The sequence below is a fragment of the Homo sapiens genome, chromosome 3 (genome assembly GCF_000001405.40).
Source record: "Homo sapiens chromosome 3, GRCh38.p14 Primary Assembly".
NCBI lineage: Eukaryota > Metazoa > Chordata > Mammalia > Primates > Hominidae > Homo > Homo sapiens.
Genome location: NC_000003.12, coordinates 113,848,544 through 113,862,925, shown reverse-complemented (window position 1 = coordinate 113,862,925; position 14,382 = coordinate 113,848,544). Strand labels below are relative to the sequence as shown.

The following is a 14,382-nucleotide window of genomic DNA, read 5'->3' as shown; positions in this document are numbered from 1 at the left end:
TTATTACAGCCATCTGAATGGGTGTAAAATGGCATTCCCATTGTGTTGCAGGAAGTCAGGAACCCCGAACAGAGGGACCGGCTGAAGCCATGGCAGAAGAACATAAATTGTGAAGATTTCATGGACATTTATTAGTTCCCCAAATTAATACTTTTATAATTTCTTACACCTGTCTTTACTGCAATCTCTGAACATAAATTGTGAAGATTTCATGGATACTTATCACTTCCCCAGTCAATACCCTTGTGATTTCCTATGCCTGTCTTTACTTTAATCTCTTAATCCCATCATCTTTGTAAGCTGAGGAGGATGTATGTCACCTCAGGACCCTGTGATGATTGCGTTAACTGCACAAATTATTCGTAGAGCATGTGTGTTTGAACAATATGAAATCTGGGCGCCTTGAAAAAAGAACAGGATAACAGCAATGTTCAGGAAACAAGAGAGATAACCTTAAACTCTGACTGTCAGTGAGCCAGGCGGAACAGAGCCATATTTCTCTTCTTTCAAAAGCAAATGGGAGAAATATCGCTGAATTCTTTTTCTCAGCAAGGAACATCCCTGAGAAAGAGAATGTGTCCCTGAGGGTAGGCCTCTGAAATGGCCGCTTTAGGAGCAGCTCTCTTTTACAGTCACAGCTGTAGGGATGAAATAAGCCCCAGTCTCCCGTGGCACTCCTAGGCTTATTAGGACAAGGAAATTCCCACCTAATAAATTTTGGTCAGACTGGTTGTCTGCTCTTGAACCCTGTCTCCTGATAAGATGTTATCAATGACAATGTGTGCCTGAAACTTCATTAGCAATTCTAATTTTGCCCTGGTCCTGTGGTCCTGTGATCTCACCCTGCCTCCATTTGCCTTGTGATATTCTATTACCTTGTGAAGCATGTGATCTCTGTGACCCACACCCTATTTGTGCACTCCCTCCCCTTTTGAAAATCACTAATAAAAACTTGCTGGTTTTACGGCTCGAGGGCATCACAGAACCTGCTGACATGTGATGTCTCCCCCGGACACCCAGCTTCAAAATTTCTCTCTTTTGTACTCTGTCCCTTTATTTCTCAGACCAGCTGACACTTAAGGAAAATAGAAAAGAACCTACATGACTACTGGGGGCAGGTTCCCCAATACCATTGTAGTCCTGATTTACATTTACCTCGTAACTATTGATGTTGGACATGTTTTCATGTGTTTATTGGGTATTTCTATACCTCTGGAGAAATGTCTATTAACATTTTGGCCATTTTTAATTGGTTTGTCTTTTTATTATTGAGCTATGTAAGAGTTCTTTACACATTCTAGTACAAGTCCCTTATCCAATATTTGCAGATATTTTCTCATTCTGTGGGTGATCTTTTCATTTTCTTAATGAACTCCTTGAAGCACAGAAATTTTTATTTTTTATTTTTCAGAAATGGGGTCTCACTTTGTTGCCCAGGATGGAGGGCAGTGGCTATTCACAGGCACGATCATAGCACAGTGCAGCCTCAAACTCCTGGCCTCAAGTGAACTCCCACCTCAGCCTCCTAAGTAGGTGGGAAGACAGGCACACACAACCAAACATGGCACTAATTTTAATGAGGTCCAATTTATCTATTTTTTCTCCTGTCACTTGAGATTTTCATGTCATATCTAAGAAACTATTGCCTAATCCAAAGTTCATGAAGATTTAAACCTATGTTTTCTTCTAAGAGTTTTAGTTTTAGCTCTTACATGTAAGTCTATGATAAATTTCAAGTTGATTCGTGTATATGGTGTGAAGTAAGGGTCCAAATTCATTCCTTTGCATGTGTATATCTAGTTGTATCATTTGTGGAAAAGACTAATCTTTCCCTCATTAAATTGTTTTGACACTCAAAAATCAATTTATCATAAACTTAAGGGTTTATTTCTGAACTCTCAATTCTACTCCCTTAACACACAAGTCTATTTTTTTCTGTTTTCTTTTTTTTTTTTTTTAAGTTGGAGTTTCGTTCTTGTTGCCCCAGGCTGTAGTGCAATGGCATGATCTCGGCTCACTGCAACCTCTGCCTCCCGGGTTCAAGCGATTCTCCTGCCTCAGCGTCCCGAGTAGCTGGGATTACAGGTGCCCACCACCAAGCCTAGCTAATTTTTTATATTTTTAATAGAGACAGCTTTCACCATGTTAGCCAGGTTGGTCTTGAACTCCTGACCTCAGGTGATCTGCCCACCTTGGCCTCCCAAAGTGCTGGGATTACAGGTGTGAGCCACTGCACCTAGCCCATAAGTCTATTTTTATGCCAATCCACACTATCTTGATTATTGTAGCTTTGTAGTAATCCTCAAAACTGGGAAGTGTACATCTTCCAACTTCATTCTTTTTCAAGATTATTTTGGCTATTCTGGGTCCTTTGCATATCCATAGGAGCTTGGGTACTGCTTGACCATTTTTACAAAAAAAGTCATTTGAATTTTGATAGGATAGTGTTGAATCTGTAGATTAGTCTGAGAAGTATTGCCATCATTAACAACATTAAGCTTCCCAATCCATGAATATGGCATGTCTTTCCAATTATTAATGTCTTTTTAAATATCTTTCAATAAAGTTTTATTGTTTTCAGTATACAAGTATTACATACCCATTTTGGCCGAGTGCAGTGGCTCACACCTGTAATCCCAGCACTTTGGGAGGCCAAGGCGGGTGGATCATGAGGTCAGGAGTTTGAGACTGGTCTGACCAACATGGTGAAACCCTGTCTCTACTAAAAATACGAAAATTAGCTGGGCGTGGTGGCACGCGCCTGTAATCCCAGCTACTCAGGAGGCTGAGGCAGGAGAATCGCTTGAACCCAGGAGGCAGAGGTTGCAGTGAGTCAAGATTGCATCACTAAACTCCAGCCTGGGTGACAGAGCAAGCCTCCATGTCAAAAAAAAAAATTTATTCCTATTTTATTCATTTGATAGCACCATAAATGGAATTGTTTTCTTAATTTCATGTTAAGGATGTTCACTGCCAGTGTATAGAATTACAATTAGCTTTGGTTTTGGAATCAAGGTAATACTGGCCTCACAGAATAATCTGGGAAGTGCTGCCTCCTTTTCTGTTTTTTTGAAAGAGTTTTTGAAGGATTTGTGCTCATTCTTCTTTAAACATTTGATAGAATATACCAGTAAAGTCATCTGGTCCTGAGCTTTTCTTCGTGAAAAGTTAGTTGCTGTTGTTGTCATTTTACTTTTGGGGATCGAGGGTTTCTTTGGTTTTTGTTTTTTCACTAATTCAATCTCTTTCCTTGTCATAGGTCTATTAAGATTTTCTCTTTCTTCTTGAGTCTGTTTCAGTAACAGTACATTCAGTAACATGTATTTTGTGGAAACATGCCTAGTTAATCTAGGTTCTCTAAGGTATTTCAAATGCATATTAAAACCTAATAACATCAACTGTCCTGGAACATTACCAAAATAGACTATATACTCAGCCATACCTCAACAAATTTGAGAGAACTGAAATCAAACAGTGTATATTTTCTGACTATAATGAAATCAAACTAGAAATCAATCATAGAAAAATAGCTCAAAATCTCCAAACACTTGGAAACTAAACAACACACTTCTAGATAATCCATCTAGAGTCAAGGGTCAAAGGGAAAGTCTCAAGGGAAATAAAATAACACACGGAACTGATGAAAATTAAAACCTTAATGTAACATATCAAAATTTGTGGGACACAGCTAAAGATGAGAGAGAAATTTATAGCACTAAATGCCCACATTAGAAAAAAAGGAGAAGTCTGAAATAATCTAAGCATCCAACTCAAGAACTTAGAAGAGAAAGAGTAAAATATAAAATAAACCCAAAACAAGAAAAAGTAAATAAAAAAGAACAGAAATTAGTGAAACTGAAACAAAAATAATGGAGAATATCAATAAAACAAAGAGCTGATTCTTTAAAAATAATAAAATTGATAAAATCTCTAGCAAGACTGACAAAAAAGAGTGAGAGAAGACACAAACTACCAATATCAGGAATAAAACAGGGTCAGCACTGTAGACTCTACAGAACTCAAAAGGATATAGCAAAATACTGTAAAGAACTCTACACATGTAATAAGGCCAGGCACAGTGGCTCACACCTGTAATCTTAGCACTTTGGGAAGCCGAGGAGGGCGGGTCACCTAAGGTCAGGAGTTGGAGACCAGCCTGGTCAACATGGTAAAACCCCATCTGTACTAAAAATACAAAATCCCAGCTACTAAAAATACAAAAGTAGCTGGGAGGCCAGGTGCAGTGGCTCACGCCTGTAATCCCAGCACTTTGGGAAGACAAGGCGGGTGGGTCACAAGGTCAGGAGATGGAGACCATCCTGGCCAACATGGTGAAACCCTGTCTCTACTAAAACACAAAAAAATTAGCCAGGTGTGGTGGAGTGAGCCTGTAGTCTCAGCTACTCAGGAGGCTAAGGCAGGGGAATCACTTGAACCTGGGAGGTGGGGGTTGCAGTGAGCCGAGATCAAACCACTGCACTCCAGCCTGGCAACAGATTAAGACCCTGTCTCAAAAAAAAAAAAAAAAAAATGTAGCTGGGATTACATGCCTGTAATCCCAGCTACTTGGGAGGCTGAGGCAGGAGAATCACTTGAACCTGGGAGGTGGAGGCTGCAGTGAGCTGAGATCGCACCACTGCACCCCAGCCTGGGCAACAGAGTGAGACTCTGTCTCAAGAACAAAACAAAAGAACTCTACACATGTAAATATGACAACTTAGATGAAATGGATTATCAAAAAACATAAACTACCATTACAAATTAAGGAAATTAAGTTCACAATTAAAAATTTCCCAAGGAAGAAATCTCCAGGCCCAGATAGTTTTACTGGAGAATTCTACAAAACATTAAAAAAATTAATTCTATACAATCTCTCCAAAAAACAGAACAAGAGGGAGCACTTCGCAATTCATTGTATGAAGCTAGTATTACCCCAATACTAAACCAGATAGATTACAAAAAATAGAAAATTACAGAACAATATCCCTCATGTATATAGATATAAGAATCCTTAACAAAATATTAGCAAATACAATTAAGCCATAAATAAAAAGAATTATATAACTTGACCAAGTGGAGTTCATTCCAGCATCCAAGGCTGGTTCAATATTTTTAAAAAATCAATCAATGTAACCCACCATATTGACATGCTTTTAAAAATTACACAATCATATCACTTGATATAGGAATAATATTTGACAAAATTCAACATCCATTTGTGATTAAAAACTCTTAAAAAACAGGAATACAGGCTGGACACGGTGGCTCATGCCTGTAATCCCAGCACTTTGGGAGGCCAAGGTGGGAGGATCACGAGGTCAGGCGATCGAGACCATCCTGGCTAACACGGTGAAACCCCGTCCCTACTAAAAATACAAAAAAATTAGCCAGGCGTGGTGGTGGGCGCCCGTAGTCCCAGCTACTCGGGAGGCTGAGGCAGGAGAATGGTGTGAACCCGGGAGGTGGAGCTTGCAGTGAGCCAAGATCGTGTCACTGCACCCCAGCCTGGGCGACAGAGCAAGACTCCGTCTCAAAAAAAAAAAAAAAGGAATACAAGAGAACTTCCTGAATTTGATTAAGAGCATCTACAAAATACCTATAGTTTTAAAAATACCTTAATGATGAAAGCCTTAATGATTTCCTCGCAAGATCAGAAAAAAGGCAAGAATGTCCACTCTCACCGTTCTTATTCAACATAGCGTTGGAAGTTTCAGCCAGTGCAACTGAGTTTTTGGGGTTTTATTTTTTTGTTTGTTTGTTTTTTTTAAGGAAATAAAAGACATATAGGGCTGAGCATGGTGGCTCACGCCTATAATGCTAGCTTTTTGGGATGCCAAGGCAGGTGGATCACTTGAGCTCAGGAGTTCGAGACCAGCCTGGGCAACATGGTGACACCCCATCTCTACTAAAAATACAAAAATTAGCCAAGTCTAGTAGCATATGCCTGTAGTCCTAACCACTCAGGAGGCTGAGGCATGAGGATCTCTGAGCACAGGAGATGGAGGTTGCAGTGAGCCGAGATTGTACCACAGCACTCCAGTCTGGGCAACAGAGCCAGATCTTTTAAAAAAAAAAAAAAAAATAGGCAGCTGGGCGCAGTGGCTCATGCCTGTAATCCCAACACTTTGGGATGCTGAGGCAGGCAGATCACTTGAGGTCAGGAGTCTGCGATCAGCCTGGCCAACATGGAGAAACCCGTCTCTGCTAAAAATACAAAAATTAGCCAGGCATGGTGGCACGCGCCTGTAATCCCAGCTACTCAGGAGGCTCATATGGGAGAATTGCTTGAACTCAGGAGGTGGAGGCTGCAGTGAGCTGAGATCGCACCACTGCACTCCCGCCTGGGCGACAGAGCAGGACTCTGTCTCTAAATAAATAAATACATACATACATACATACATAAAGAAATAAATAAATCTGGAGAACAGACTAGCCGGGGGTAACATAGGGGGTGGCAGTGGGAGGAAAGTGGCTATATTTATAAAAGGGTAACATGAGGAATTCCTGTTGTGATGAAAACGATCTTGATTCTATCCATGTCAATAGCTTAATTGTGATATTGTACTATAGTTTTACAGATGTTACTATTGGGGGAAACTGTTTAAAGGATACAGGGATCCCTATTATTTCTTCAAAAATGCATGTGGGTCTACACTTACCTCTTTTACCAAGAAGTAAAAGAGAAAAAAAGTAAAAGAGGAGGAGGTTGATACAATTAGAATAAATGTGTTAAATTCCAGCTGGGCAGGGTGGCTCACACCTGTAATCCTAGCACTTTGGGAGGCCGAGGTGGGCAGATCACTTGAAGTCAGGAGTTCGACACCAGCCTGGCCAACATGTTGAAACCCCAACTCTACTAAAAATATAAAAATTAGCTTAGCTGGTGGCACGTGCCTGTAATCCCAGCTACTCGGGAGGCTGAGGCAAGAGAATCCCTTGAAACGGAGAGGCGGAGGTTGCAGTGAGCTGAGATAGCACCACTGCACTCCAGTCAGGGTGACAGAGCAAGGCTCTGTCTCAAAAAAGAATTTTTTAAGTGTTAATTCTATATAAGAGGGGAAAATGTTTAAAGCTGATTCAGAGGTCAATACACCACACCATTTTCCCCTTCCTCCAACCACTTACCTTTAGGCCATTTTACTTACTAACATCTTCTCCAGAGAAATAATGCAATTAAAATCACTTAATTATTATGATTTTTTTCTTTCTTTTTTTTTTTTCTGAGACAGAGTCTCACTCGTCACCCAGGCTGGAGTACAGTGGTGTGATCTCAGCTCACTGCAACCTCCATCTCCTGGGTTCAAGCAATTCTCCCACCTCAGCCTTCCAAGTAGCTGGGATTACAGGCGCGCACCACCATGCTCGGCTTATTTTTTTTATTTTTATTAGAAAGGGGGTTTTGCCATGTTGGCCAGGCTGATCTCGAACTCCTGGCCTCAAGGGATCCACCCGCCTTGGCCTCCCAAAGTGCTGGGATTACAGGCATGAGCCACTGTGGCCGGCCAAAATCAATTATTGATCAAAGTATTACTAAGGTGATAGAAAGTCACTCTCCCATGTAGCTCATGGGATTCAGTGTCACTGTTTTCGTTTTGTTTTGTTTTGTTTGTTTTTGAGACAGAGTTTTGATCTTGTTACCCAGGCTGGACTGCAATGGCATGATCTCGACTCACCACAACCTCCACCTACTGGTTTCAAGCAATCCTCCTGCCTCAGCCTCCCAATTAGCTGGGATTACAGGCATGCGCCACCATGCCCAGCTGATTTTGTACTTCTAGTAGAGACAGGGTTTCTCCATGTTGGTCAGGCTGGTCTCAAACTCCTGACCTCAGGTGATCTGCCCACCTCGGCCCCCCAAATTGCTGGGATTACAGGCGTGAGCCACCATGCTCAGCTCAGTGTCACTGTTTTTATGTGCACAGATCATATCTAATAAAGGTTTTTTGGAAAGGCAGGTACAGCTAGAAATTTTGTATTATCTTAGATTTGTTTTTATGTGCTGTTTAAATATCTCATTGCCCTAGATAATCAAAGGGCTATACTTAGGTTGAAGCCTTATTAAATATCCCAGTAACATATCACCATTCTAGTTAATTTCCATATTCTCTATGTCATTTATTAAATATGTTAATTTATTGGTAAAGCAATTTCTTAATAGTTATGTTTTTCCCCAAAAAGGTTTTTTTCATGTTGATATGGTGATCTTTAAAGAAGTATATACGTTTTTAATGAAACATGAGTTTTCTTCCTTTGGCCCTTCTTTAAACAACCATAAGTCAAATTTTACAAAGGAAGATTAGGACAACAGTCCAAAAGCTGGCACTTTAGTCAGGTTTTTGCCCTTAAGTTGTACTTTTAATGACCTTAACAACCCCCATCTTGCAAATCCAATGCCCAACTCTCAGGTTGCACCTAACTCAACCTAACGCAGTAGATCATTGTCCTTGAAAGGCTTCCTTCACTTGCCTTTGAGGACACCACGCTTTTTAAGATTTTCTTCTATCTCCTAACCAAATCTCAGGCTTTTTTGCCACTTTCTGCTCCACCACCTGAAGTTTTGAACATTGGAGAGTCCGCTTCTCTTCTCTATCCATATTTTCTCCCTAAGTGATCTGATCCAGTCTTCATAAGTCTGTCTTTAAGTATCATGCCTGCTCAAAACTTCTCAATTTACTTCTGGCTCCAATCTCTCCCCGAAGATTCGGTAGTATATTCAATAGCCCACCTGACCTTTCTATCCATATATCAAACATGCATCGCCAACTCAGTTACAAAAAAAAAAACTCTTGATTTCCCCACATGCCAGAACCCACTTCTCCCTCAGTCTTTTCTTCCCCTAAATGGCACTTCCATGTACCCAGTTGCACTGACCAGAAACCTAGGAATAATTATCCCTGATCTTTCTTGTTCCCTCACTCACCACATCAATCCCTTCAGCAGGCTATTTGTCAAGCAAGCCAATCTCATTCCAGCCTCAGAGCCTTTCCATAGAACACCCTGCGCTTTCCCTTCCCTTCCAGGATTCACTGGTGTTCTCCTTCTCTCACCCGCCCCCATCATTTAAGCCTCTCTCTAATGGCACTTCCTCAGAGAAGCTATTCCTGACCATCCTAACTAAAAATGCTACTCCCTCCCATGCTATTCTCTACACCTTTACATTCTTTTGTTGTCTTCATAGCTTCTATCACTACCTGACATAGTACATGTTTGTTTAGTTATATGCTGTCCGGCTCCCATTCTGTTGTCAGATCCAGGGTGGTAGAGAGGCTGTCCTGTTCACTTAGAACATTCTCGTGCATAGAAGACACTCTAATAAATGAATAAATAAGACCATTCCTTTCTTAATTCATGTATATCTACCATTGCCACTTTTAAGATCATAATGTCTCTGCTCACATACTCCTTAATTTATCCTGTGAGCAGCTCACTGCAATTCCTGATTATGAAGCCCTTCAACTTGAGTGAAAATCTTTCATGCACATTCTCTTTGAATATTGCCTCTTGCTCATTCTCTGTATTCATCTTCTGAAACTGCTATTAGATTCATAACGGACTTCTCTACTATTTCCTTTACATCTTAAACTGCTCTCTTTCATACTTTCTCTCTTTATCTCTCAGTGATATAATTTGAGGAATTTCCTAATACGTATATATCTTTCACTTTACTGATCTCTCTTTAGTTGCCATTTCCCAAGCCCACTGCATTCTTTAATTACGATTATTTCAGTGACCATATTTTTCATTTCTAGAAGTTGTATTTGATTATTTTTTCAAATCTGCCTGGTGTTCTTGAGAATTTCCTATCCATTTATACTACTTTTAATTCCTTCTATTGTCCTTACAATATCATATGACTTTCGTAGTCTTTATTTGGTATAATAGTTTTATTATCTGAAGTTTTGGAGCATCAAATACACTATTTATTGAATCTCTTTCTGCTCACTTATAGAGTACTAAATCCAAGCCCCAAAACTTCATGAGAGATGGACTACAGTTAGAGATGGATTATAGTTACATATTCTCAGGAGAAACTACCCCCACTCCCACCCTAAGCCCTGGCTTAGACAGACAAGTTTCCTTGTCTTCAACCTGTGGATGTAGTGGATTTTTTTCATCTGTATTTCACAGAGGGTATGGGAGTCAGGCTTTATAAAGAGTTTTCAGTTCCAGCTCATACAAGTTCAAGGTGCTATCTCCTATCTCCTATCACAGCATAGCCATTAAAGCTGAGCAAATTCCTCACGGGTACCTCGGCATTAGCTTATGGGCTTACAACTCTGGTAATCAGTTCCCTCTTTTTTCTTTTTTTTTAACCCCTTAGGTATATTTCCCTCGCTGTTTTGTGAGCCAAGACATTCATTATTAAAAAAAAGTTTGAAACATTTCATCCAGCATTGCTAGGTACCCTTAGCAGAAGAGCATTTAAATCGTCCCCTTCTTGTATTGCCAGAAGTGTTGGTTTTTATTCCTAAAACTGTTAAAAGATATCTAGGTTTATCGAGCAGTATCTAACTATACTTAAAATTTTTCAAATTGGATAAAATGTTTTTTTAATCCAACATAAATTAGAAAATGAGTTTATTCTTTTTTATCAGTCACCAAAGTAAAAATCTGAAATATCCTTTATAAGCTTGAATAAATCCAAGACATGTTGTTGTGGAGGACAACATGATTACAGGAAACCTATTCTCCCCAGTTGCCAAAGTATGTTACAAACATACTAATTAATCCTCTTGGGATTTTTTTAATAGTACAACATTAATTAATCCTTACTATGTATGTATAAAACAGATTTGTGGCAAAAAAAAATCAGTTTTATTCCCCACTTCTCAGTAGAAAAATTTACCTGTTAATAATGTGAGTAGGATAAGTTACTGATAAAGTACAGAATAGGCCGGGAGTGGTGGTACGCACCTCTCATCCCAGCTACCCGGGAGGCTGAGGCACGAGAATCGCTTGAGCCCAGGAGGCGGAGGTTGCAGTGAGCCGAGATCATGCCACTGCACTCCAGCCTGGCTGACAGAGTGAGACTGCACCTCAAATAAATAAATAAATAAATAAAGTACAGAATAAAGGCTTCTGATTTTTTGCACAGTTAAAGAAAACTTGGCCAGGCACAGTGGTTCAGGCCTGCAATCCCAGCACTTTGGGAGGCTGAGGTGGATGGATCACCTGAGGTCAGGAGCTTGAGAACAGCCTGGCTCACATGGTGAAACCCCATCTCTACTAAAAATACAAAAATTAGCTCAGCTGGTGGCGTGCACCTGTAGTCCCAGCTACTCAGGAGGCTGAGGCAGGAGAATCACTTGAACCCAGGAGGTGGAGGCTGCAGTGAACCGAGATCACAGCACTGCACTCCAGCCTGGGCAACAGAGTGAGACTGTCTCAAAAAAAAAAAAAAAAGAAAGAAAGAAAACTTGACTATTATCTAGAAAAATTCAAATATAAATATTTTCTATTAAAACCTAAGTATACTAGTTATTATTTGCATATATGTAGATAATGGTTGAAAATCTGTTTATTCTTAAAACGTTTTAAAACAAAAAAATTTTAAAAAATCAATTCGAACTCTAATCTTTTTTAAAATTCTCCTACTCCATCTTTTTTTCTATTTCCCTTCCTAAATCAAAGACCTGAGGAATCTGAGATCTCCTATCTTCTTTATGCATAGTTTTCAAGATTTTCAAATAAACAATTATTCAAAGAGGAACACACAAAGGACCCCTGAGTAAACTTAATTTTAGTTACGCATTTCAGAAAACTTTACAAATCCCTCCAGTTTAAAAATACAATGATTAGCTAAATCTGCTATTAAAGAAGTATAGGCCGGGTGCAGTGGCTCACGCGTGTAATCCCAGCACTTTGGGAGGCCGAGGAGGGCAGATCACGAGGTCAGGAGATCAAGACCATCCTGGCTAACATGGTGAAACCCTGTCTCTACTAAAAATACAAAAAATTAGCCGGGCGTGGTGGCACGCGCCTGTAGTCCCAGCTACTTGGGAGGCTGGGGCAGGAGAATGGTGTGAACCCGGGGAAGCGGAGTTTGCAGTGAGCCAAGATCACACCACTGCACTCCTGCCTGGGTGACAGAGCAATACTCCATCTCAAAAAAAATAAAAATTAAAAAAATAAAAATAAAAAAAAAATTAAGTATATCCTTTCCAGCCTCAGCCCCGGACCCTACAGCAGCGGAGATGTTGATGCCTAAGAAGAACCGGATTGCCATTTATGAACTCCTTTTTAAGGAGGGAGTCATGGTGGCCAAGAAGGACGTCCACATGCCTAAGCACCCGAGCTGGCAGACAAGAATGTGCCCAACCTTCATGTCATGAAGGCCATGCAGTCTCTCAAGTCCTGAGGCTACGTGAAGGAACAGTTTGCCTGGAGACATTTCTACTGGTACCTTACCAATGAGGGCATCCAGTATCTCCATGATTATCTTCATCTGCCCCGGAGACTGTGCTGCCACCCTACGCTGCAGCCATCCAGAGACTGGCAGGCCTTGGCCTAAAGGTCTGGAGGGTGAGCGACCTGCAAGACTCACAAAAGGGGAAGCCGACAGAGATACCTACAGACGGAGTTTTGTGCCCCCTGGTGCCAACAAGAAAGTCGAGGCTGGGGCTGTGTCAGCAACCGAATTCCAGTTTAAAGGCAGATTTGGTCGTGGACGTGGTCAGCCACCTCAGTAAAACTGGAGAGTATTATTATTTTGCATTGAATAAACGTACAGCAAAAAAAAAAAGTAAGTATATACAATTGACAAATATTTTTAAAGATCTTAATGAATTATCAAAGCACAAAAGAATATTTAATATTAACTAGCTGGAGGGGCTCTAGGGAGGGAGTTGGGGGTTCAGCCCCCCGTCCGGCCAGCCGCCCCGTCCGGGAGGGAGGTGGGGGGTCAGCCCCCCGCCCGGCCAGCCACCCCGTCCGGGAGGGAGGTGGGGGGGTCAGCCCCCCGCCCGGTCAGCCGCCCCGTCCGGGAGGGAGGTGGGGGGGTCAGCCCCCCCGCCTGGCCAGCCGCCCCGTCCGGGAGGTGAGGGGCGCCTCTGCCCGGCCGCCCCTACTGGGAAGTGAGGAGCCCCTCTGCCAGGCCACCACCCCGTCTGGGAGGTGTACCCAACAGCTCATTGAGAACGGGCCATCATGACAATGGCGGTTTTGTGGAATAGAAAGGGGGGAAAGGTGGGGAAAAGATTGAGAAATCGGATGGTTGCCCTGTCTGTGTAGAAAGAAGTATACATGGGAGACTTCATTTTGTTCTGTACTAAGAAAAATTCTTCTGCCTTGGGATCCTGTTGATCTGTGACCTTACCCCCAACCCTGTGCTCTCTGAAACATGTGCTGTGTCCACTCAGGGTTGAATGGATTAAGGGCGGTGCAAGATGTGCTTTGTTAAACAGATGCTTGAAGGCAGCATGCTCGTTAAGAGTCATCACCACTCCCTAATCTCAAGTACCCAGGGACACAAACACTGCGGAAGGCTGCAGGGTCCTCTGCCTAGGAAAACCAGAGACCTTTGTTCACTTGTTTATCTGCTGAGCTTCCCTCCACTATTGTCCTATGACCCTGCCAAATCCCCCTCTGCGAGAAACACCCAAGAATGATCAATAAAAAATAAATAAATAAATAAATAAATAAATAAATAAATAAATAAAATATTAACTAGCTTATCCAAAGCACTATTACTTCTATTAAAAAATCCCAGGTAAGTATGTCATCTTCTGAACACACACAATGAACAATCTCAAAGGCTATTTTCTACTCCCAATAGTTGCTTACTCTATATCGCTAAAAGAATTTGCACTAAATAAATGCATATGTTGCAGATCTTTGTCTGCCTTGCCTCTGGGATCTTAATCCACATGGAATATACTATTACTCTAGCCAAGAAGAAAGTAAGTCTTTTGTTTTAAGAGTTTTTTGGTTGTTTGTTTGTTTTACATTTTGCTATATATTTTTTTACTAAGTTAATGGGCAAAAGCATAAATATTTGCCATTATTTTAAATTTCATTTCATCATTTCACATAATTTTTATTGTTTAATTAGGGTTTAAAAGGTAATAATAAAACTCATTTCTCACATACAGAATTAAATTTTTATTTTATCTTATTTTATTGAGACAGCGTCTCTCTCTGTCGCCTAGCCTGGAATGCAGTGGCATGATCACAGCGCACCATAACCTCAAATCCTGGACTCAAGCAATCCTTCCATGTCAGCCTCCCAAGTGGCTGGGACTACAGGTGCAAGCCACCACAGCCAGCTAATTTTTATTTTGTTTTGTTGAGATGGGGGTCTTACTATGTTGCTCAGGTTGGTCTCAAACTCCTGGCCTCAAGTGATCCTCCCACCTTGGCCTCCCAAAGTGTTGGGATTATAAG

At 41.1% G+C, this 14,382-nt stretch overlaps 1 protein-coding gene and 1 pseudogene across 3 annotated transcripts in view; one reads left to right on the top strand and one right to left on the bottom strand.

The window, feature by feature from the left end:
* The window catches only part of GRAMD1C (GRAM domain containing 1C), a 118,983-nt gene that overhangs the window by 84,249 nt on the left and 20,352 nt on the right, over positions 1-14,382 (bottom strand). The gene's annotated exons all lie outside the window — the stretch shown is intronic.
* On the top strand, positions 12,157-12,738 carry RPS10P4 (ribosomal protein S10 pseudogene 4; annotated as a pseudogene).